The sequence below is a fragment of the Homo sapiens genome, chromosome 7 (genome assembly GCF_000001405.40).
Source record: "Homo sapiens chromosome 7, GRCh38.p14 Primary Assembly".
In the NCBI taxonomy this organism is placed as follows: Eukaryota; Metazoa; Chordata; class Mammalia; order Primates; family Hominidae; genus Homo; species Homo sapiens.
This window is the reverse complement of record NC_000007.14, coordinates 26,686,438-26,713,034: the sequence shown is the minus strand read 5'-3', so window position 1 is coordinate 26,713,034 and position 26,597 is coordinate 26,686,438. Positions and strand designations below refer to the sequence as shown.

The 26,597-nt window shown below is 35.9% G+C and overlaps 1 protein-coding gene across 4 annotated transcripts in view, besides 1 other annotated feature; it reads left to right on the top strand.

The window, feature by feature from the left end:
* The window catches only part of SKAP2 (src kinase associated phosphoprotein 2), a 209,821-nt gene that overhangs the window by 151,556 nt on the left and 31,668 nt on the right, over positions 1–26,597 (top strand). For all 4 annotated transcript variants that reach the window (XM_017012771.3, NM_003930.5, NM_001303468.2 and 1 more), the window contains one exon: positions 22,673–22,750. In XM_017012771.3, the coding sequence (XP_016868260.1) occupies positions 22,673–22,750 (78 nt within the window). The remainder of the gene's footprint in view (positions 1–22,672; positions 22,751–26,597) is intronic.
* Positions 22,852–23,957: an enhancer, noted in NCBI's record as "VISTA enhancer hs296". NCBI's record gives its function as "enhancer in: hindbrain (rhombencephalon)[4/5]" and the evidence as "EXISTENCE:transgenic organism evidence [ECO:0001131][PMID:17130149]".

Below are 26,597 nucleotides of genomic sequence, written 5' to 3'. Positions count from 1 at the left end.
AGAACAGAATCACAGCCCCATGTGCATAAATGACACTTGAAAAATGTGTCCTGAATTACTTTAGTGAGGCTGACATGTATAATTATATAAGATTGCCCACACAAATCAGATGCTGTTTATGAGATGAACAATTTGGATTGGAAGAGACCTTTTTCTCTTTACTCCTTCTCCCTGGACAACTTTATACCTTCCACATCACTACACAGAGGTGCATATGGTCAGAGCAAAGTAAAACATCTTCACTGGGTAGCTAGCTCATCAAAAGAATGTAGAAGATATGATGATAATTATACTAATAATGGTTAACACTTAGCATATGCCAGGTACTTTCCTAAGTATTATTTAATAAGCATAAGTGGTTGATGGTATAGGTATTATTACTATCTCTGTTTTATAGACAAGGAAACTAAGGCACAGAAAGATTCAGTAACTTGTTTAGAGGCACAAGCTAGGAGATAGCAGAGTTGGGATTTGAACCTAGGCATTCTGACTCTGGAGGTTAAGCTTTTAGCCAATAACTGTACTGTCTCTCAACAAAAATATGTTAAGAATTGCCTTGTCCTTAGTTATCAGATAAGCATTTACTGCACACATATAAAAAAGACACCAGAAGAGAGAACGTACCAACCAAATCTCATCTTCATAAATGTTCTCTCCTCTGAGCTCTGGCTTTATTTCAGATAATTTTTGGCCATCATATCAAACTTGTATTTAAGATCAAATTACAGATTGAATATTCCTAATTTGAAATCTGAAATGTTCCAAAATCTGAAACTTTTTGACACTCAAAGGAAATGCTCATTGGAGTATTTCAGATTTCAGATTTTCAGATTAGGGATGCTCAACCAGTATAATGCAAGTGTTCCAAAATTCAAAAAAATCTGAAATTTGAAACGCTTCTAGTCCCAAGCATTTCAGATGAGGAATATTCAACCTATACTGCTCTACCTCCTTTCTTTTCTATTTCTACTAACGGTATCAATTGTTACTCAAGTTTAAAAAAAGAACCCTCAAACCCATCATTGACTTCTTTCTTGGTCTCCCCACCTCTCCTAATTTGGTCAGTTGCCAGTTACTCCTGATTCTGCCACTAAAACATCATCCATCCCTGGCTCTCTGCTCACTCAGGCTTTAATAATTTCTCACCTGGATCATTACAAAAGCTCCTAAGTGGTCTCCCCACTTCCTGTGTGTGTATCTCTTTCTCTAACCAGCCTGATATAGCCTATTCTACGTGGTGCCAACAGATTGATTTCCTAAAATATAACATGGTCAAATTAATCCCTTGCTCATTAACCTTTATGAGTTCCCAACCCCTAGTAAACCAAGTTCAAACTAACTGGCCAGGCCCTGAGCCATGGTCCCACACAAATCCACCTTTCCAATCCCATTTCTGCTGCTCAGACTTATGCTCCAGACAGACTGAACTCTTCACTAACCCTTAGCCCTTCCCTGGACTGCCTTCATCAACTGTGTAGCTCTAGATGCCTTAAACAAAATCAATATATTGAGTTAATTAATTCAGTGACAAAAATCCAGCCAAATAGCACACAGATCAAACTTTAGTTGATGTGGCTTTTCATTTTTTTGTCCACAAAGTCGCTGATGAACTCTACCATATTTTCTAACATATCTCACTATCTGCAAGGTATAGGGTGGGTACTCAGATGATCAATAAATAGCCCCTGTTCTCAAATATACCATAATTTAATAAGAGGAACAGATATATGAAATCTAACTATAGAAAAAAAACAATTAAAAGACATATGCTCTCACCAATTCCAAAGCCTGGTATGTATTACTATATATCTTGGCCATTATTTCCTCTATCCACACCTTTGTGGAACCTTTATAGTCACTGCTTCAGAAACAATGAAAATACCCTTGTTGATTCTATATATTTATTACACCATTATATAGCATTGGTATAAATATAGTATTTTCGTTAAACCTGCTCAGGTGGAACCTTCGTGGTCATTCCACTAGAAACAAAATACCCTTGAAATTCTCTATATTTATTGGGCATAATACAGTATTTTTATAAGTATAGGGTGAGTTAATAAACACAGTATAGTATCATGGTATAATAGTAAATATAGTATTATAATATCATTATCCTCCAGCATTCTGGAAATTAACACATATTCAGAACATCTCATCTGATGCTGAGACAACGTATATAAAAGAATTCAAAACCTCCTTTATAAACCGGTTAATAATTTTTCATTTAGTGGGGAAAATGTTTTCAAGAAAAAAAGACTTCAGAAGTTTCTTAAGTCCTATCTTTCTGCTGCTCCAAAGTGTTGAATGGCTCACCACAGACCATAGGATAAAATGCGTATTTGTTACCTTGGCATTCAAAGGTCTTCCACAGTCTTGCTGAAATCTCACAGTCTAGCCTAATCACTGCTATAATGCAACACTTCTCCAATTTTAACAAGCTGACTTGCTCTTTATTTTCCCCACGCATATCCCATACATTTCCAACCTCACATTTGTGTTCTTACACTTCTGTCTTTATAGAATGCTGTCCCGTTTGTTCAGTTTCTAACCATATCCTCCCTGCTCTCTAGGCCCAGATCAAATCCCATCTCCCCAAAAGAGCCATCCCAGCATGAAGTGACCTCTGCTTCTCTGAGCTTCTCTAAACTTTTCTAACACCATTCATTTGAATATTAATTACAACTTCGTGACATTTTAAATGTTGATATGTGCTATTCTGTAAATCTTAACACTTTTCATGTGATTATTTGGCAAACAAGCAAATGGATGGTTCCTTATAGCTTTATTATATTTGCAAACTCCTCTAGTGCAAGGATCAAACCTTATATTTCCTGGCACCCCCAGAGTACTTGACCAAGTGCCTTCCTCATAAGAATTCAATAAATAATACCTGAATAGTGCAAAGTCTTTAGTTAAAGGGGTCTATTAGGTAAATTAAGAGAAACTTTCTCTTTATGATGATTATTTTCCTGACATGAATTACTGCAGAATCCTAAAAGAATGATTACCAAACAGTATACTATCAGTGGTATATTGAAGCATGGCTGATCCCCCATAACTTCATTAAAATCTAACATTACTATTCCAATGGGCAGAGTCTCAAATAAACTTAGGAAATGTAATACATTGAGTGATGAAAAGCTCTTATATCATCAATCCTTTGGGCCATTAAAGATAAATCATCTACTATGAGCAACAGAACCAACTTGAGTTACCAGTTCCCTATGGCAGGCTAGTCATCTCGAGCAAGACATTTCCCAGGAAATGACATTCTCCTTTGCTTCCACTCATTCATTAACACAGGTAAAGTAGATCTAAAGAGCACAGGATCATAGTTAGGATTTTTAAAACCTGCCTTCTCTAAGGACTTAATGTGACTAGTAAGCAAATGGTACATTTTATATTTAAAAGTAAACTCAGATATGGAAATCTGCACAAGCAACTTAAAGGATGGTGAAACAAGGTTTAAGAATCAATGATTAGATAAGTCCTTGGGGAAAATGTTTAAACATTATCTTTCAGGCAATTACTTTGATTCAGTGGGCAGAGAGGAATCATTGGAGGGCCTCAAAAAGAGGAAGGCTGAGGTTAAGATTCAGGCTGCTCACTCCTAGTACTAGCTCTGACATACTTTAAGCCCTTTGTTTCCCTTTTCCACTCCACACCCTTTGCTTCTATTAAGCTAGTTCCTTTTCTCAGACCACTGCTTATGAGTCCTGCTCCCAATTTCACATTGCCTATTACACTCTCTCATATACCAGATAGCCTCATTTCACTTCTGTTAGCAGCCTGTGTTTTCTTTCAGAAACTACCTTACTTCTCAGTTCTTCCTGGAAACCTAGCCTGATAAGGTGAAGGTCATCTGTACCCATAATAAAATATCCCATCTCCCTATGTTTTATACTTATAAGTATAAAAGACAGTAACCCAACACATGTAGATATACATGTCTAGACACTTTGTGAATTTGAGCCTAGGTTTTTATTTTATACTTTCTAAGAGCTCAGCATTAATTTAAAAGTATTCTGCAGAGATCATCTAATATTCTAATAAATCAACTGAAAAAGAATACTAAAGAAAATGAAACATGAAATGAGAAAAGCAAAAAGAAAACACCCAATTTTTATGTAAGCAATTCAATTATTCATGCAACAAATATTTATTAGGCAGCTATTACATGTCAGGCACTGTGCTAGACACTGGAGATACAGTGTTGACCAATATGACTCAGAATTTATTAATTAGAAATAAATATAACAAATGATAAGAAATGGTTATGAAAAGAGGCCGAAGAGAGACTGATAAAGAACAAAGATCCAAGCCAAGTCTATGGCAGTAAATGAGATACCTAAAAGGGCTTGTCTGTTCAGTGCTACTCATACCCAGTAAGAAATATGTGGTTCTGAACACCACCTATAGAACATACTGAAGATGAAAGTAAAAGGATTAAGGTTGGGGAGTTTACTAAATGGAGATCCTTTTGAAAAATGTTTAGGTGGGGTAACTATTGGTATATACGGAAGAGACCAGATTATAGCACATTCAATGTTATAGGGAAACGGGAGTTCATATTCATGAAGAGATTTAAGAAAGAGTTAATAAGAAAAAGACTTTGAAAAACACCCCCCAAATCCCTTCAACATTTAAACCCATTTTTTTTGCCCCTACAATAATAAAAAAAGACTTTCCAAAGGAAGTGGTGGAAGAAACCCCATTGCTCAAGACATTAAAAACCAGATGGTCCAAAGCCCCAGCAAACATTCACGTGGGATCAATCCTTCACCCAGTGAAAGCAAAGAGATGGGACCAGTGTAATAATGTGTTTTGAATCTCTAGCTTAGAAATGCTATGAAAATAACAATTCACATTGCCTTGGACTTTTCCTTAATGTCTTAGCTCTTCTCTGTGCTCCTTCAGCTTTCAGGGTTGACTTCTGTTAGAGCTGGCCACACAGGAATTTGCCTGTTTACTTGGAAGTCTCTTCTGCTAGGTCCATGTATTGTGAGCTTATCAGGTTTTCTCCTTACCTCTATGAGAGTGCTGTATGCCCTGGGTTCTGGAAGTGTTTTTCTTAAGTGCTTCTCCTAAGGATGGTTTTATGTTTGCTTCTGCTAGAACCCCAGGAGTTTTGAAATTTTTATGTTAAATTTCTTGGCTTGGGAATACCATGCTTGAGGATGGTATAAACTTGGATCTCACATTGGACAGGCTTGGGGGTTTGATTTCTCACAGGAAGCCCCATGACCTCCAGCCCTGGAAAAACAGAAAGCTTCCTTGTTTCTTCCCTGGGCTGTTGGGGGTCTCATTTGTATCTCTGTGCTTCTCACAGGCCCAAAGCCTTGTCTCCTGTGTCCATGAAGATGTTAAAACTCCAGCCTCAACCCCACCATGCAAATGATCAGTATGTTGCTTTGAGCAAGTGGGGAAGGACAGGTCTGTTTCAGCTTGGTTGACCATATTGCTAGAGGTTGAATTCCTAAGCCATAAGTTATGAATTAACACTGCAGTGAAGACTTAATTATAAGTGCTTGATTTAGAAACTTTATTTCAAGTCAAACAAAATTTTGTGTATGTGCTATAGGCAAGGTTCTGTGCTAGGTGTCTAATATCCTGTCTCCTATGTACTAAGGGGCTTTATAATTATAATATTAATTACTTCTTTTTTTTTTTCTGAAATGGTATCTCACTCTGTCACCCAGGCTGGAGTGCAGTGGTGTGATCTTGGCTCACTGCAGCGTCGACTTCCTGGGCTCAAGCAGTCCTCCCACCTAAGCCTACCGAATAGCTGGGACTACAGGTGTGCACCACCATGCCCAGCTAATTTTTGTATTTTTAGTAGAGACAAGATTTCACTATGTTGCCCAGGCTGGTCTCAAACTCCTGGGCTCAAGCAATCCACCTGCCTTGGCCTCTCAAAGTGCTAAGATTACAGGTGTGACCCACTGTGCCTGGCTTTAATTACTTCTTGACAAGAAGAAATTTTTGTTAAATTTATGAAGGAAGAGATTTTAAATGGCCGCTGAATTTATGAAGCAAATTATCCCAATTAGCTGCTTAATGCTATTTAGGATAAAAATTACATTTGTATATACAAAGAATTACTCAAAAATTAAATCAAATAGAGATCCATCCAGACCCAAATGTACACTTTGGTTTTATAAGCTAAGACTAATACATATTTGCATTTGAAGTCATGTTAAATTAGGTTAATGTGGTTACTTTAGAATATATCTTTAAAATGGGGCTGGCATTTCAATCAGCTGAAGTCCTAATTTAAATAACCTATTTTATTCTGTGTGCTGATCAATCATTTTCTCCCCTAGAAAGTCAAACCAGTTTTTGCACTTTTCATTTGTAGAACTTACATGACATAAACATTATGTGACAGAAGTTGCTTGTTATTAAGAGAGAGAATATCATCTCAAAGAAACTTGTCATCTGGAAACAGGAAAAATCACATGAAGTAATTTTATTTGTATCATGGCTTTTTCACTGTTCGCTACATTTGTGACAGCTGATTTTATATTAAATATTAACAATATTCTGTTTATACTTGAATCTGCTGCAGTAGGATATAGATTTTACTCAGAATATTCCTGGTTGGAAAGAAGACTGTTCAGTTAAATGAGACACGTGAGGGCTAGTTATAAAAAAAACATAGATATTATATAACTAAGAAAATAAAGCTACCACTTTGATGTCAAAATTTGGTGCCAAAAGTTTGAAGTTTTACTTTACCCTTGACTCTTATAAAATTTTGTTTTGGGAGGTCAAAATTAGGAAAATATTGGCAATTTCATTTTATTCAAACTAATAAAAACACTTGTTAGCTATGGGTACATGTGTTAGAGAGTCATGGATATTAATATAAATAGTATGATTATAATGAATGAGTTATGGAGACAGTTAATCTATTTGTTAGAAAGAGTTATTGTTGGACTTTGGTAACCAAATAGGGTTATATTTCTCACTTTTAATAACACTTATACAATAAAAAACATTGATATATTTTGAGTTTCTAGCAGCAGAATGTCTTATTTGTTAATTTTAAAATAATTTTGGCAACATCTACTTTAAAAAAAGCCTAACTGAATTGTGTTGAATCTTTTGTGAAGTGTGTATGTATGTCCCTATGATTTGTTTTGTTTTGATTTTAACTTTTCAATATATGAAAATACCCATGAGACAGGCTCCTGCTAAATTTTTGGCCACTTTGTCATCAGAGCTATGAGTGTACGTTGTCAGTTGTTTAAACATTGTTGAATCCACTGTGGGTTGGCAAGAAGCATCTGGGAGCCAGACTTTTCCTGTGGACACATGCCAAGTAGTGTATTGTATTTCCTCACTAAATTGAACTATACTGAGATAATTTTTCTAGTTGAGTTTTTTTAATCCAGAAATTATTTTCCAAAGCTAAGTAAAGGGTCATATGATAAAGTTGTTTATAATAAAACCGCCTGAATTCTTTAATCACTGCTTGATAACTACTTTTATTTAGCTAGAATAGGTGTAAATAAGTCATGCAGTTAAACTACATTCAGATAGTTAACATTATGCTCTTAAGTAGACTGTTCAGGAAAGTGCATATGTCATTTTGTGTATTCTCTTTAAATCAATGATTTACTCTAAGCAAGGACAATAAACATTGAATGATCCCTTAATTAAGTACTATGGTTGGGCTTGCCATTAAATTTACATGTTTGATTGCATTATTTAATTAGATGGAAATAAAATCCCAAATTGCATTTTAATATACATAATTATGGCATAACATTTATTTTAACTAAAAGTGCTAGGAAAAGTTTATAAAATCTCATATTTAACTTTAAAAAAAATCAGTTGTTATTTGGGGATGAGAAAACAAGAAAGTTTCGTCATACTGGAAAATAGGCTAGAGGCTAGTTTTGGAGCTCTGGCACTGCCTAGACCCTAGGCCCCTAAGGTGGCAGGGATTTGTCCTCCCAGAGTGGATAAATTTACTTCATCTGCTACTCTGGGACACTGTGGGTGAGACCTTAAAAAAGTAAGATCTGGTTTGCCTGCCATGTACATTAAAAATATTCTGGCTCTTTTACATAAGAGCAGACATTTTGTTGATGTTGGCTTTATTTCTGGAATCCAAGTAAGAGAAACTTTGTAAATGAGAGTTCAACCTATCCCTTTAGGGGGCCAAAACTGAGCAAGTGTGTTGGTTTTTGAGCTCAAATTTTTATTCTTACGTACTTTGAAGGACAGCAAATGCTATTTTGCAAGAATGAGCATCAAGACCTCCATCAGATGAGTTTTACATGCCTAACCTCCCCTTCTTCCCCCTGCAGGTTCTACCTTGCTTCTTTTGGCAGCCCCTTTCTACAGAAATATACTAGTTCTAGCACATCTTTTCTCTTCAGCCATTATAACCTATTTTATCATAAATTAGTCTGTATGTCAAGAAGATATCTCTTACATTAGAATTGAAAACTTCTTAAAAACAATTCTGAAAGTCTGTGCACAGCCACTCATAGGTACGTGGAAATTCATATTTTGAGAGTGCCATTCTTTCGTATTACGAAAAGTGCTTTAATTTGCTGTATTTTTCATGTCTTACTGCAGTCATATCTGGTAAGAAACTATAGCTATCTTATTCAGGATTAATCAATCTTCTTAGGCTCCTGGCTAGGATTGAAGCTGCTCTCAGCCCTGCTTGCTTCAGGGCTTAGCCTAACTCTGTTTTTTCATCACATTTAGTCTCTGGGAGGGAGGTGATGGGAGATGATTTTTCCATTTGCAAGCTGCCTTTCAACTGGAAGAAAAATGGAAGGGGCAAATGCCAAGTTTTTCACTTTCTGTGGCCATTACAAACATGACTTGTCTCCTGTTTTTTCAGCAGTGTACACTATTTTTCAAAGGAGCATTTTTTTAAACGATTGTCAGTTAGCCAAATTATTTTATCATTGAAGAGTGTTAAAAATAAGAATATATGTCAATATGACATCATGATATTAACTTTCTCATAAGTTGCATGTTGTGACAATAGGTTAAAATGCTGTTTAATTAATTAACAAACAGGAGCAAGTAATATATGCAAGGTTTTACACCCAAAGGGAAGAAAAACTGTAGTGCTTCAGAACCTGGGCTCTGGAGGCAGACTGCCTGGGTGTAAATCCTGACACTAATTATTATTATAGCTGTGTTATGCTGAACAAGTTACTTAAGTGTTTCTATGCCTTCGTTTCATTATCTGTAAAATGTTAATGATGGGTTTTGAATGAGATTTATGTATATAGTACCTAGTGGTGTTTAGTACACAGTAAACAGATTATTATAATCACTGTTACAAATCTGCTATGCAGATTTGTGTTGACCACTTTACCTTATTTCATCCTCATAATAATTATCTAAAGCAGATTTTATAGTTCTGTTGTCCAGATGAAAAAACTGAGGTTCAGAGAGTTTAATTAACTTGTCTAAGTTTGTATAGCTAGTGAAAGAGGGTAATATAAACTTCTGGACTACAAATTATATTGCATTTATATAGTTATGTTGTATCTTTCAAATGCATATATGGGATTAACTCCTGTTTTGCTAATTCCATTATATAATTAATTTTACTTTGGTATTATTTAGTGACATATATCTGTATTTTGAAGCTTAAAATGTACTTACCTTCAAATAATGATAGAACACTGAAACCTTAGAGACCTTATGCAAAAGAAAGCCTTAGGACAACCATGTCCAATCCTTTGAATGCAGGGAGTTTTTTGCTTATTTGTGGTGGTGGATATCATGAAAATTATGCATGGAATTTTTTTTTTTAAAGCTCATCAGGTATTGTTAGTGTTAGTTTATCTTATGTGTGGCCCAAGACAATTCTTCTTCTTCTGGGGTGGCCCAGAGAAGCCAAAAGGTTGGACACCTGTGCCTTCGAAGATACGGCTCTGAGCCATGGTTCTCAAAAGTACTGTCCTGGGACCAGCAGCATGGGCTGGAAACTTGTTAGAAATGCACCTTCTCCAGCTCAGCCAAAATATACTGAATCAGAAACTCTGTGCATGGGGCACAGCAATCTGGGTTTTAAAAAGCCCACCAGGTGATTCTGATGCTGCTGAAGTTTGATAACCACTGCTCAAGATAAATACCACATCGTGGTGGTATGCCGAGATGTTGATGTGTCTCATAATCTCTATTCGCAAATTAGAAGTTACCTCATATTGCAGAGGGGAAATGTGGTGATAGTAGAAAAATACAAGTGAGGCTATTATTTGATAATTGCCCTATAAATATTAAATATTCAACACTATGTGCTTGATCCCTTTCATTCCTTGGATTGAGGCCTTCTAAGCAGGTAGAAGCTATTACTGTAGGGCACAGCAAACTAAGCACAAGGGAGTAAGACTGAGTGTGACTCTCTCCCCACCCTCAGTTTCTTACTGACTGGGACACACAGAACCAGGGATCAGGATGGTTAGTTTTTCTAGTATGCAGCAACTAGGAATCTTCAAACAAGAAGAACTGACAAACTGTCACTAAGAATATAGAGAAGGGGAGAGAGAGCAATAAACAATCATTATCATCATATCTTTTTCTTTCTTGAGATACGGTTCAAACATGGCTGGGCGCAGTGGCTCATGCCTGTAACCCCAAGCACTTTGGGAAGCCGAGGCAGGTGGATTGCTTGAGCCCAGGAGTTCAAGACCAGCCTGGGCAACATGGCAAAACCCTGTCTCTACAAAAAATACAAAAATCAGCCGGATGTAGTAGTGTGCGCCTGCAGTCTCAGCTACTTGGGAGGATCACATGAGCCTGGGAGGTAGAGGTTTCAGTGTGCTGAGATCATGCCACTGCACTCCAACTTGGGTGACAGTGTGAGACCCTGCCTCAAAAAAACAAAAAACAAAAAATATAGTTCAAACATGGAAGTGGCATATTTTAAAATGAGTGAGACAGAAGGATGTAGGAAATAAATAAGGAAACTGATACGGTGTCCACTTTTAATTGTGGAAAAAATTGGACAAAAGCAGATATCATCTTAGAATCCATGATAGCCACCGAAGAAAAGGCTGCCCATTACCCACACACATTTGCTAAGACTGTAGGAAGGCAGATTTCAGAAAATTCAGGGAAAGAATAAGCAAAAATATTGTGGTATTTTGTGGTATTAATGACAAACAAGTATTTTTAAATGCCATTTGAATTTTAATTGTAAATGATCTTAATGAGGGAAAAAAAGAGAAGTTAAAATAATATCCTTGTGCTAGAATCTATTCAATGATGCAAGTTTTATTTATTTATTTGTTTATTTATTTATTTATTTATTTATTTATTTTTGAGACGAAGTCTTGTTCTGTCGCCCAGGCCAGAGTGCAGTGGGGCAATCTCAGCTCACTGCAACCTCCACCTCCCGGGTTCAAGCAGTCCTCCTGCCTCAGCCTCCTGGGTTTACAGGTGCCCACCACCACACCTGGCTAATTTTTGTATTTTTAGTAGAGATGGGGTTTCACCATATTGGTCAGGCTGGTTTCAAACTCCTGACTGCAGGTGATCTACCTGCCTTGGCCTCCCAAAGTGCTGGGATTACAGGTGTGAGCCACTGCGCCCAGCCTGAATGCGAATTTTAAAGGGGGTATCCATCAACAATTGAAATAGCTGAATAACCAAAGAAAATATGAAAATAGCTTACATTTATAAATTATGATAAGCACAACCAAAAATGTATGACAGTTGTGTGTTTTTGTTTTCAAAACTTATTAGAGACAGTGGTTCAGAGAAAACAGCTCAGTTTCTATTTGCTCCTTTTCTGTTAAGAATCTTCCTCCAAGTAATAAGATTGGTAAGAGGGAACAGAAGCCCAGGATTGACAAAGATTCAAATAAAATACCTAGCTAGCCAAAACAAACTCCTTCTTTGTTCCAGGCTTGTTTAGGTAATATAAATAAGTCACTGGGGAGTCCACACCTGGAGTAAAAGTGGACAGTAGAGGAATGTTTGCAGTACCTTATGAGTGGAATAATAGAGGCCTGGACCAAGTCTGTGAGAACACAAAGGGGAGAGAGGCCAGCTGCTTCCCAGAGTGGGGATTGAGCTTTGCTTTAAAGATAAGTAGGACTTGGGTTTGTCTTCTGGCCCAGGTAAAACTGTCATACATTACAAGAGAAATTGTAAATGAAGTCATTGAGCTGCTGTCACTCATTTTGAGGGAAACATGAAGGATGAGAAAGACTTTAGAGGTCTGGAGTCTAGCAATTGTATTATAAACTTCAAAAACAGTAGAAAGTGTCTCAAGTTGGGTTCCCTGAAACAGACTCTAAGACAGTTTTATGTAGAAGGTTTATGGATGAGTGATCTTAGGACATACGCCGGATGAAAGTGAAGAAGGCCAGACTAGGCTAGGCGGACTCTTCAGGATTGTGCCAAATTGAGGCATAGGGGCTTGTCTTTGTATTCCTGCATTAGCTATTCATTGGCTCCAAGCCATTCTCTGGGAGGCCCTATAACCTTGAGTGAAGCAATTCCCTGCAGTTGAGGGCAATTTCTAGTGAGAGACGCAGTTATGAACCAACTGCAGCTTGAGTCCCAGCAGTTGGGGATGGCTGTGTTGGTTCTGAAAAGCGTATCTGGTATCCCTTTTCAGATGAATTCTGAAAATTCTAGATAGTTAATGGGCTATAAAGAGGACTCCAGAAACTGCTAACATAGAGTATCAAAGAGAGTCTTTTATGTTAACTAGAAGATGAAACACTAATTACTGGAACCCAGTATGAGTTCCAGGAATTGGTGGACATATAACTGGACTTCAGTAAGACATGTGGTCAGGATTCTCATGAAATCTTTATAGATATAGAGACCACCAGATAACTGACTCTACAGCTGTGTCCAAAGAGTGCTAATTAATTGATTTTATGAATACCTTAGGGCTTTATTTTCAATATTATCATATCCAACCTATTCATCATTGTTTTGGATACAGGCTTGCTCTCAATAGAACAAAATCATGGGTCAAATCCAACAAGATGAAATATGATAGAATATTCCACTTGCTCCAAAAATCTAGTTGCACAAGTACAAGAAAGGAAAGACTTGGCTTCACAGAAAATGGGAAAAACACATACGGACTTTGGTCAATAGCTCAATATGAGTCAACAGTTTAATGTGATTCAATCCTGAGATTGTGTGCTTTGGGAACATAAAATAATTATCAAATAGTGTTCTAGGTTAGCAGGATATCATTTTTTTTCATGTGGTGGATGAACAATGTTTAGATATTTAACTAAAACTACCCTAGAAAGTACAGGGTAGCCATTCTTAAACTTATTGATCTCAGGATCCCTTTACAATCTTAAAAATTATCAAGGACCCTTAAAAGCTTTTGTTTATGTTTTGAATTTTTTTCTAGAAAGTAAAGTATTTCATCTCAATGTAGATTTTTTTGGTTTGTTTTAAATTTTATTAGATTAAAAAATACTATCTAATGATAAATAGGTTGGTAAATAGTTAAATCTCAATATTTACCCTATTGGAAATTAAAACAGATCTTTAAAGAATGTTGATTTATTAATGAATTTAAAAGTCATGATGATAAACCTGTTACATCTGTACATAACCTATTTTTAGGAAAAATAACTATATTTCCCCCTAAAATTAGAAGAATATGGCATTGTTTACATTTTTACAGCTTTCTTGAATGTCTGTCTTGGTAGAAGACAATAGAGTTTCATATCTGCTTCTACATTCAGTTTATTGTGATATATTGTTTAAGTACAGTTAACTTATAAAGAAAATCCACCTCATACAGATATGTAGGAAGGAAAAGGGAGGTACTTTACTTGCAGGTAATTGTAGGTATTCTTTTTTGATATTGTACCCAGACGCGACAAGTAGTAGTTAAAAGCTGGTACAATGTGGAATCTGAAACCATACCAATGAACTTTTCATACTCTTTTACATTAAAATTCATAGGCCTGTCTTGCACTTTGTTGAATGGATCTTTTACCCATGCTTGATTTTGTAACATGCTTTGGTCAGTTGGAAAATACTAGTTCATTACATTATGCAGAACCTACAAATATTGACACAACTATGACACAACCTAAGAAAAACCCACATTTTGTTTATATCACCATCCATCTCATTGGAAAAGTCTTTAAATAGTGGGGAGCTGTCAAGCTAACAGTGGCAGATACAAGTTTCTAAAATCCTAATTTTTGCTTGAAAGCTCAAATTTTATCATTGGCAATAAATACCGTCAGTTGTTTCCCTTGAAATGACAAGCTTATTTCATTTACTTTTGAGAAAATGTCTGCCAGATTCCCAAGTCTAAATAACCAGTTTGTCAGTCATTCAAGTAAAAATGGTGTTCCATGAATAAAAAAATGGCTAATTCAGCTCAACACTCAGATTCTTACGCATCTGGTGGTGTAGCAGAAATGCTTTATACATTCTTCTGATTTTGTCACATAGAATATTAAAGTTACGTACTCAAGGTTGATATTAGGTGAAAATAATTATTACTGCTTCATCAAGGACATTCTTTAGTGCAACTGACTTCTTTCATTTTTTTACTTTTATGCCAGTGCAGGGCAGTCTAAGTTGATTTATGCTAAGGTGTCAGCAGTTTTACCCATCATTGCTCTGCAACATCAGTGCAAATGTTAACATAGTGAAAAAGACACATAATGTCTTAGTATTATTATGAAAATAGCTTTGACCCCACAGACCCTCCACCCTGCAAACAGATCTTGGAAAGCACTGCTGGTATAAGGGATGTGGAGCCAGTAAGTCTAATGGTGATGGTTCTTTCTATGAAACTGTGCTTTTTCTTTCTTGGGCTCTTGAAAATGAGGTTAAGATGCACTGCATATGATGAGAAAGGGTATATTTGCATAGGCAAGCAGAGGAAACAGAGCAAAAGCCTATAACAAATGAGCTCTGCATCCATATATCAGCTGTTTTTCCAGAGGTTATAGTAGGCAGTTGTAGACCCTGATAAGACAGCCACATTACAATCAAATAATCATAACATCAGCCTATTTGTCACTAGATAGTATTTTTTAATCTAATAAAATTTAAAGCAAGCCAAAAAAATCTAAATTGAGTTGATGTATTTTACTTTCTAAAAAAGGATTCAAAACAGTTTACAATGAAATGCATATATACTTTTGGGATAAGAAATGTATGGGGACAATGAATACATATGCATTTGGGGTATTTTATTTAAAATAAGAATTAAGAAAAACCAGTAGCTGAATAAAGGTAGCCTAGAAGAAGGTGTTAATAGTGGTTATGCTTGGATCATGGATGATTTATTTATTTATTTTGCTTATCTCTATTTTCTGACTTTCAGCAATGAGTAGATACTGCTTTTGTAACAAGAATAATAAGAAAAAGGTTACTTTAAATGAAAAAAAAAATGAGCTGTAATTGTATCAGAAATCCAGAGCCAGATAGAGGTTACTGTAAGTGAAAAATAAATGAATTCAGACTTTCCTGGACTAAAAGAATTTTAGAATTACACAATTTGTTATAAACTTTAATAAAAAGCCAAGAATTTGGGTTGTAAAGGAGAATTTTTATCATACAGTGAATAATTCAATGGGACAAGAAGGAGCTCCATTTCATAACTTCCTAATACCTAGTACTCTTTAGGAGTAGGATCATTTTCTAATTCACAGTCGCTTCTGACCAACCGAATCTGACCTATGAAAACTTTGTTTTTAACCTATATACATTCCCTTTTGCCATAATTGCCTAATTGCCTGTAGGTGATCGAGTGTATACAAGACTGCTCCTGAAACAAAGGAGTGCTTCTCGAGCAGCAGATAACTTTTCAGAAATGTCTGCGGTGCACAGAAGGCAGTTTCAGGGAGAAGGGTACAGTGTGCAAGCTGTGTGCCCTCGGTCCAGTCATTCAGCACCCACAGTTTACCTCATCTTCTGTGAAATGAGGAAACTGAACAAGATTCTATCTAAGGTTTCTTTCCCTTCTAAGATTTTTTTTCCTGACTCTATCAAATGAGATCTTTGCTTGAGTTCAAGTTTTTTCCTCAACATCCCAATCATGATATTAACAAATATGTCTATGTGAAAAATTATTTTCACATTTTCTGATTTGTGTGTGTATGGGTATTTTTTTGTTTTTGTTTTTGTTAGAGACAGCGTCTTGCTCTGTCACCCAGGCCAGGATGCAGTGGCATGATCTTTGCTCACTATAAACTCAAACTGTTAAGCGATCCTCCTGCCTTGGCCTCCCAAAGCAGATTTGTGTTTAAATTATTAATTTTAATGTCATAGTACAGAAATTTACTACAATCCAATGGTATTTCCTTTTGCTTTTGAAGGGTAGTGATAACCTTTTCATATTAAACCTTAGAATAATAGAATGTCAAAGGTGAAAATTAGATTTTGTGGTTGAACAACTATTGCTTATTTTCTTGCCTTTATATCACATTAACCTTTCTGGTTGCTTAATTAATAAATTGTTGCAAAACTCCCAGTTCCTAAGGTAATAAACTTGATACAGCATACTAATTTTTCATTTTTTCCCCTGAGAAATCTGGTTATCTCATTGTCTTCCCCAAATCCTTCTTCAAAGTGCTATGGGATAGACTTACTCTTCCTACTTTGAAATACAGAGATGACACTAAGAATTAGAAGCAGTGTCCAGTTTATGTGAGTAACAGAGCTGTAACAATAGGCCCCACTTTGCCAAATTTCCATAAGAGTAAACATGACTCTAACTATGCTATTTCAGTCATCTTTATCCTTCCATTCATTCTGAAGTTTGTATAATGCTAAAAGGCACATGCTTATATCTTTTTAAAAATATGTATTTTATTGCTGTAAAATAATAGTCTATTGAATAGACAGAACAGTCCTTTAGAAGTATAATAAAATATAGTAATATAAAAATCCTTCATATTACCAGTAGTTCTAGATTTATAGGCCCCTGGGGAGCTCACTTTCCCTTGCTGTCATAATTGTGAATCTTTTGCCCATACCCCTTAGATTCGACTCTAACTTTTCCAACCCTTCTTCCAGCCTTTGTGACTTGCCACAGGTCATGGGAGAGAAGAGCGGGTGGGGTTCCATTTGTATGTATCCTCCCAGTACTTCTATCTTTTACATTTTACCACTAGGACTAGCCGGTGGTGTCCTCTGTTCCCCCATGTCACCTCTTCCATCTCCCACTCGGGCATCTTGTGTGCAATGCCCAAATAGTGTGTAACTTTAGGAACAGAGGAGTGTGTTAAAAGCTAGAGGTGAGGAAGGGGAACTGGGAGAGGAGAAAGAAGACCATATATTTTGGGCAGCCCTGGTTGCAATTGTTTCTAAATCAGCACTAAAAAGTTTGCTTAAGATGTTCTTCAGATACGATGCTATGATAGTGTAGAACCTACTATTCTATGTGAAAATGTTTTCAAAGTCCACAAACAGACAGTATTTTAAGTAAAATTTTAGAAAGCAATCCACCTGTAAATTGAAGATTTTAATGAAAATAAAGGAGGAGACACTGTGGCTTAGAGTTAAGGCATATGCCTAAAGTTAAAATCCCAGCTTATGTACTAACTGGATGTATGAACCTTGACAAGTTATTCAAGCTCCATAAATTCATTTTTCATATTCATAAAATGGTGATGATAAAAGTACTTATAATTACCTCATAGAATTGTTGGAGGATTTAGTTACATAATGGATATAAATGCATATAATGTGAACATTTAAGCAATAAATATTCACATTTCCTGAGAAAAATATATAATATTAAATAATGCCTGGACAGGTGGAGATCTAAATCCAAACTTTATTTCAGAGCTTAACTTTTGATTCTGTGTTTTATGTTTTAAAGTACATTATAATTTAGTAAAGCTGTTTTCTGAGGGTATTTAGTGAGAAAGGTGATCATTATGTAAGTGAAAGATTTTTTATATCATCTTCCTCTTCTCCCTGGAAGAGATGATAAAATCAGTCCTCGGCCTTGATGTGAACATCGCATACCTTGAGTTGGTGTTAACAAATTTTCTTCAACCTTTTTTCAAGCAGTGTCAGCTAAATGGTGCCATTTGCTTATCACTCTTCTTTTTGGTTATTTATCCTAAAGATAAGAACATTAGTAAGCCGTAAATGCCCATTTTGTAAAAACTGCATAGCTAGACAGATTTGCAATCCCTATTAGGGTAATAATCCATCTGTTATGGAACTGGATCAATTTTGTAAATTAAATAGATTAAAAAGGGGGAAAAAGGGCCATGACTTTTCCCACAGTAAGCCTTTTCTCAAATGCTAAAAAGATTTGGGAAGACTCAAACTATTTGCCATTCTTCCTCTCTTTGCTTAACTCAGAGAGAAGGCCAAATATCTATTAAAAAGAGGGGTGGGTGCAGTTGTTTTTTTTTTTAATTCTTCAGGGTCTGATTGCTCCTGGAAGTTTCATATTTTTGACAGAGTTTATTGTTAAAACCTTTTGATGACTACCAGAACATTTCTGCTGTTCTCACTGATCAGTTTAGTAAATGTGTGACTATGTTTGAATTTTCTTCTGCACTTAGCTCACTTTACTGTTACTTTCATCCTGTCTGTTCAAAAAAAAAAAAAAAAATCTCCTGATGATTCTTCTAACAATGTGTGATTGGAATAATAACTTCACATGTTGAAGAGTTTTGTGCTGCAGCTGAGAGGCATGTAAATACAAGCTGCTTATTTGCAAGAAGCTTCCAGGTTTGCAATATGATTGCTATGGAAACCACATAATGAAAACCTTATAACCATCTGTGTGGTTTGATGGATTTTACTGCATAGCTGAGCTGTTTTTGTTTACTGTTATTAAAATGTTGAATGGAATATATTAACTCACAAACATTGACTACTTGAGGTATTAATTAGTATTGTACAATGACATTGTGCCTCAACACCAAAATAATACATATTTAATAATAAACCTAAATAAAAAAATATGTGAATGTATATATTTCTAATATATTGTGAAGGTGATTATTGCCTAGAATTTTGGTCACTTGTTCTTACATATTTTTAAGAGCTTTATTCTATTAATAAATGAATATGTTAAGATTTATTTGTATGATTTTTTTAATCCATTTGTTTATTCTGTATTTATCGAACATCTCCTTTGTGCCAAGTTCTATTCAAGGTTCAGTCTGAGGTTTTTTTCCCTGCCTAAGATTCAAAAACATACACCATATTTGATTTTGTTATCTTTTATATGGAAGCTATTTGTATTGTTAGCCAAGATAAAATGAGTTGTTTAAATATTGTTAAGAAAAATTGATATATTAAATGCATAAAGCTTTGGTTTAAAAATATCGCTACCAGGTTTAAAATGGAAAAAGGAAGTGTCCTTAATGAGCATCTCATCCTCTAAAATCTGCTTATTAAATGGCATCTTACATGGATTTCAATTTGGATATTTTATAGTAAACATTAATTCTTAAGTAAATACTTTTAATATCATTATTCTGATAATTTAAGAGTGCATATTTCTAAGAACAAAGCTCTCTGACACCAATATACAATCCAGAGCACATGTTACTGGCACTTAAGTTTTAATAAAATAAAAAATTCATAGTAACAAATACTTCTAAATTCATTGTTAACTTTGTCAAAGAGCAGAGTTTTTTCATTAAGTCTTGTAATGAATTTTTATATGTTCATGCTGATTTGGGTGGTGAAATCTAAATCCCACAGTCTCTTTTTTTTTTTTTTTTTTTTTGAGATGGAGCTTCACTCTTGTCGCCCAGACTGGAGTGCAGTGGCGCGATCTCAGCTCATTGCAACCTCCGCCTCCCAGGTTCAAGCGATTCTCCTTCCTCAGTCTCCTGAGTAGCTGAGATTACAAGCGCCTGCCACCATGCCATGCTAATTTTTGTATTTTTAGTAGAGACGTGGTTTTGCCATGTTGGCCAGGCTTGTCTCGAACTCCTGATCTCAGGTGATCCACCCGCCTGGGCCTCTCAAAGTGCTGGGATTACAGGCGTGACCGACCATGCCCAGCCCCCACAGTCTCTTCTTAAAAGCCACTAATAATACTTATTGTATTGATGCGGTTATAGCTTTTGACTGAGGACGAGTGCCTTTATCCATTTTTTAATTTATTTCTTACTATTGAATTTGTGACTAAATTAAAAGGGGAGTGGGTGCTATGGAAAGAAAGTGTGAAAAGTAAGGAAAGCTTTCTCCTTCACCTTTTACCAAATTATCTGTCAATAAAATGAGTAGGTTGGAATAATGACTGTAAACGTTCCTTCTACCTTTAAAAATTTATATGGAAACACCCTATTAACCCATTTATTAAAGCTAGCCTTTAAGGTTTGGCATAAGTGAGATAACTATTGTTAAAAAGAAAAGAGACAGGATACTTTTTAAAAGAGTGGTATACTTTTATTAGGTCTTCTATATATTTGACTGAACCATATTAAATTGTCAGTGTTATGTTTAACAATATGAATAAAATGCCAGATATTTTCAGGTGTCCCTTATATTGGAGTTGTCATTATTTTGTTTGAATTGAGTTACAGAAATTCAGAACAGTTCTATTTGTCGTGTAAGTACAGCTACCCTCTCAAGCTTGGTTGAAATGCTGATTTTGATTCATCCCCATTTAACATTTTCAGGAGACTCCTAAATTTCCACCTGTAGTCCTGACTGCTCTACCATACTTTGCAGTTGCCCAGACATGTTCTCTGGGTTGCCTCACCAATACATTAAATTCCTCCTGTTGAAAACACAACTCTTTGTGTTCCCCAGTAAGATAGATTATTTTGGCTATCCTCCTTTTAGTAATAATATGTCCATTTCTCAGTTAACTAAGCTCAAAACCTTAGCCATCCTTTGTTGCTCTTTTCCCCCCCCTCATTCCTCCACATTCAGGCACAAAGCTTATCCATTCTAGTTCCTTTACCTCTTATAACCATCTCCTTTCCATTTCCTTTGCCCCTTCAGTTCAGGACTTCCTTCCCCTTTATCCACAGTAGTCTCTCTCCCGCCCCTTTTTTAGGCTGTCTGAGACAATGGGATCAGATGTCCATTCCTGAAGCATAGCTTCAGTCCTGCCCTTTCTCTGCTCAAAAAACCTTCGAAGGCTCTTATTGCCCACCAAATAAAAGCCTGCAGTCCATAACAAGATGTTCATGGCCCCTCAACAGCTGGTCCAAACTATGAGCGTAACTCCTACCCAGCTCTTCCCCTATGTGTACCAGATTCTTTAGTCAAAATGAATATGAACATGCCTTTTTCTTTTAAAGATCATACCTATCCCTCCGGAAATATCCTTCTTATCCTCTCTCCTTATTTAAACTCTCTCCATCCCTTGGAGCCTCCGTGGTACTCCCTAGTTGGGGGGTTTCTCTGCTGCACTTCTTCAGTGCTTTGTGCATCACTTGTCAGGTTTAGGCCCCTTCAGCCTGTTTTCCTTTAGAGCTTGTCTTCTGTCCCATCTGTGCTGTCAGCTTCCTGTGAGCAGAGGCTTCCTGTTACTTTTACCTCCTTGGTAGATCTCTTCTGTCTCACAGTTAGTTAATATCCAATGAAGATTGATTGACTGATTGATTGAATAGTTACAATGACTACATTTATATATTTTGCATATTTTTCTTTAAAGTTTTAGGAGTTTTCTTGAAATTATGATTCTCTTTGAATCCAGTTTTTCTTTGGCATGCCATTTGTTTATATGTCCTGCCTTAAGTATTTCTAGGTTTGTATGCAAATCCTTAGGTGAGGAAAAATCATGTAATAAATATTTTTCTTGGTGTAAATGAATTAGTTTATTAAGTCTATTTAAAGCTCTTCTCATTTAATTTTATCTTATTTCTTTGCATAATTTGGGGAAGGAATGGTATAGGTGAGTGTGGAACAAATGTAAATGGAGCACTGATTATATGTAGGATAAAGAACATTGACTTTATAATCACAAACTTAAGTTCGAATGACACACTTTGGAAGTTACTTCACCTTTTTGAGTCTCTAAAGATAAACTTGTCTGTAGAATGAGGATTAAAAATTATTTGTCTATGAGATTTTAACATCCAGCATTGTATATGACACATAATAGGTCCTTGGTATAATTTTGGGGGAATTACCTCAAAGGATGAAGATCATTATAGTATCTTCCTGTGAAGATTGAGAAAACGTATGAAATTATGTGATACTCAAAAAAATGATTTATAGGTTAACTGCATTTTTAATCACACATTTCTCCTTGCTATATGATGTTTTAGGGACCATGATTTTATATATGATACTCCTGCCACACAGTACAATGTGGTGTATCAGTATAACGCTGGGTGTTACTTTACTGGATTTAAGGGTTTTCCTGAAATTAAGATTGTTCCAGATGAGTTTCTAAAAGTATTTAAAACAAAACATGCAGTGCATTAGTACATATCTTAAATTTTGCCAAGCCAGTTGGAAAGGTTGCTATTTGGAAGTAGCTAGTATTTTATTGGAAAGTTGGAAAGTTTGCTATGTGGAAAGTTGGAAAGGTTGCTATTTGGCAGTAGCTAGTATTTTATTTATTCAGTGTTAGATTGTCGAAAAAGGACTGTGAATCTTGAGTTATTTTATTCTTTGAAAAATAATGTTTATGTGTTATAAACTTTTAGTTTTGCTTTTAAAATTGAGTGAGTACTGTAGTGTTATCCCTGAGAAAACCCTTCAATGTGCCATTGATAATGTTTATTTACAGAAGAAGAAGAGGACAGTGCTCCAGTGAAAGTGGAAGAACAAAGGAAGATGAGTCAGGATAGTGTCCATCACACCTCAGGTAATGACTTGTGTAGCTTCTTGGCAAACCTTATTTTGCTTTTGTTCACTTTCATTTTATCCATGTTCTTACTGTTCTAAAGATGTTTACACAGCTCCCCAAAGTTGGCATTTTTGGCTTGGATATCTTATGGCTGATAAGCTGCTTAGTCCCATTTAGGATGCATGAAAACCACTTGAGAAGGATTTATAAAGTAAGCCAATTTATACAAGGTATTCCTTCCTGAATTACTTTGTAATGACTCAATTAGCTTTCATTTCTGCACAAAGGAGATTTAGTTGCATAAATTAGCTTATCATCATTGAGGAAGTGTCACTGCTAAAGGACAGTTTATAGATACAACATGCAGTTGCTGTCAAACCTATAAGAATGTAATATAGACATCTGTGTATACTTTGTGCTTGAGCAGAACAGACTTCTGCCATTCAGAGACTAACAGGGGACAACAAGTTGCCCAGGGGACTGGCAATGTAGACATCTCTGAAAAGGTCAACTTGACACAGGCTCTGACAGTCGACCCACAGCTCTGTCTTCTTTGATAAAAATCAGATAAACTTAAGACTGCTAATTGATCTGCAGCCTGTTTAAATGTTGGCCATGCATATCTTCATTGCATATGATTAACACAGAAAGCAAATGAATTGGGTAAGAAATGCCAGAGTCCAGTGACAGCAGCTTAAAAATTGGAAAAGGACACTAGTGGCCTAAAAGGCTAGGAAGGATGTTCCCCTTATCCATTTCCACTTGGCACATATCCCCAAGTACTAATTATGAATGAGACTGGAAAAATAATTGCACACACTCTGTACAAAATCACATGATACGGACAACTTTTCTTGCTTGTTGTTATTTCCAAATAGCAGGAGATAAACCATATCTGTAGTGCAAGCATGAGGTTAGTTTTGATAAACCAGCAATTATTTTACACGGAAAGAAGAGAAAGACTGCCTTCTTATCAGGACTTTACACCTCTTCATAGCCACATGTCAGCTGGGGCAAGGTCTGCCATATCATCTCTGTGTCTTGCAAAAAGCTAGAGTTAGGGTCACCTTCCCCTCTCTGATATGTCCATACATCACTCTTTCAAGCTGTCAAGGCCGGGTGGACAAGAAGTGTGTGTTCAGGAAGTAGCTTTCCAGAGTCCTTCCTACTGTGACATGTGGAAAGGAAACAGAGGCCTGATTCTAGACCTGGACAGGAAAGCAGAAGTAGGTTGCTACAAAAGGTTTTGGTTAGTGTTTTTTCAGAAAGGAAGCGAGAACAAAATCTTTACATGTTAGCACTCTAGTCCTATAAAATGAAGCTATAAAACACTGAGGCTTAGTGAAACCTTGAGGACTATGTTCAATAGTAGTTTAAGTATATATGTTTTCGGTTTATGTATCATGAAACTTCTGCCAAAAATATGTAGTTTTCTTTTTAAGAAAATTTCAGTGCAGGTATAGAAAGTGGATACATACAGATGGTTCTTCCACAGATACAAATATTTTGGCTTAAAGCAATTGTATTTTTCAAAAGCCCTTTTAAAGTAAACATCTCCCAAATTTTTGCCTTTGAGGGTAGGAAAAAAAATCAGTTTTCCTCAAAGGAATGCATCAAATAGATCTAGCCTTTCATGCAATGGCTATAAAACACTACAATAATTCTTATCTTTAGTGACATGAAATTCTTTTCAAGCAACAGTTTTAATGCTTTTGCATAGAAGTGACCTTTGCTCTTCCCTAGGCTGTCAAAGATGTAACACTAGAAGTTTGTTTGCCATGCAGGGCAGTGAGTTGACAAGGGTATTACTATCTTGCTGAGCATCACATGACATGAACTTCTAACCTTACTCAAGAATGTTATATATATTTCACATTGACTGATTTTACTAAACCCCCCACCACAGACTTTTCTAATGTAAAGTATGTAAGCAAAAACAAAATTAATCTTGTGTTTCTTACAAGTTCCTTCATGTTCAAACTTATATATCTTGCAGATATGTGGATGAGTATATATATAAAATAAAGATTCCATTTGATTTTTTTTGAACATTATAGAATATATTTACCTTTCTAAAATAGTTTTTAAACCTTTTAACACCAAAGGAGAGATTCTCCACTATCTTATTCTCATATGTTTCACCCGTGGTCATCATGTTTTTCATCTTTGCAAAGTATCTCCTCTGTCTACATGTTTCATAACAATTCTGTTAGCTTTGCCCAATGATCTCTTCTTGTATGTTTTTAAAAGCAGGAGTAAAAACATTGTTTTAATCTTTCACAGGCTGGCTAATTAATTTTTTTCTTTCTTACCTTTTTTTAATCATTCATGCTTCTCAGGACAAGAAACATAATGTAGTTTTTTTTTGTAATTTTTAAAATATAGATCATGATGTGGATAGAATAGGAAAATTAATCCATGTAGTAAAGCCAACTAAACATACTTAATTTGTGCTTTAAAATGTATGTTTATGATATTTGCCTCATCCCATCTTTAAAAATACATATCTCAACTGGATTATTTTTCAGTGTTTAGGGGTGAACAGTGTTAACTTTTGCAAACCTGCGCTTTTGAGGCTGTCGGTGCTTAATTTTTTGTGTATGTTTAGCTACACTTTAAATTTTAAAAAGTAAGCTAGAGGAGATTGCTGCCCTTTAAGGAACAAGACTCTTCCTGATTTTTGTGTCCAGATTTCATATCAAGAATTCAAACATTACTTCCCTGAGACTAAGGCTAATAAACATATACTGCCAGGGTTTTTTTTCCCCCTACTTACGATTTTTTCTGCTTTATAGCTAGTATTGCATGCTGAAATAGATAGACTAGTAAATCATACATGTATGTAGCTGTGTGACATAAACAAATTATTCTTTAACAGAGCTCTCATACGGGACACAAAAATGAGGTTGGTCTTTGGGTAACATCATCATCAAGATTATAGAAAGCACAGTTGAAAATGCATCTTTTTCCCATATTGCCAAATCACTAGCTCTGTTGCCTCTTTACAGCAGTGAGATTTAATGAAATGCTCATGATGCACATCTAGGGAGAGATGCATCTTGCACACGGTGGGGGTCTCTCTTCCCCTCATGTGCTCCTGTAACTCCCATTAGTGTTAATGGGAGTTTCAGCAAGCGTATCGAGGGGAAGAGAGACCCCAAAGTGATAAGGATTATGTGTTAGAAATCACCATATACTTTTCTTTTCCTTCTTTCTCTCCCCTCCCCTTTGAGAATCTATTGAATAAAAACTATTGTAAGAGAATCTGAAAAAAAGGAAGAGCAGCCTGGACAGCTGGGGAACGCAATGGGACAACATAGCTAAGCCAAAACCTCTACTCTAGTTTTTAGTCCAAGTTTTGTTTCTTCCACTTTTTTGGAGCAAGCCTAAGGCTGAGCAGCATGGGGAACGCAGACTAAAGAAACCAGCCATTTAGATCCTTTTACCTCCTGGCCAGTTACTGTGGGGGAGGGCCTCGCATGTTACTGTGGGGGAAGGCCTTGCATGTGAAATGATGTCATCCTCTCTTTGCTCTAATTCCCTGACTTTTAAACTGACACTGACAGACTGCAAGGGGCACAACATTTGACCCATTTACCAATTGATTTAATCTGACTAGAATGTTTCAACTTCTAAATCTCTATTTGTCTAAATAAGTGGTTTTTAAAGGAAATCAGTCACTTTATTATTAAGTGATTTTTTTCTTTTAAAATTGACAATGTTTGAAGTGATCTGGCCAGCTGCAGTGCCCTCTAGTGTCCATTTTTATAATTTACTTAATATATGCTTTGGGGAAAAAAATGTAATGAAGAGTGGCCACAAGCATTGTTAGTTCTTGGTTGGATTCCCAACCTTGTGTACATCC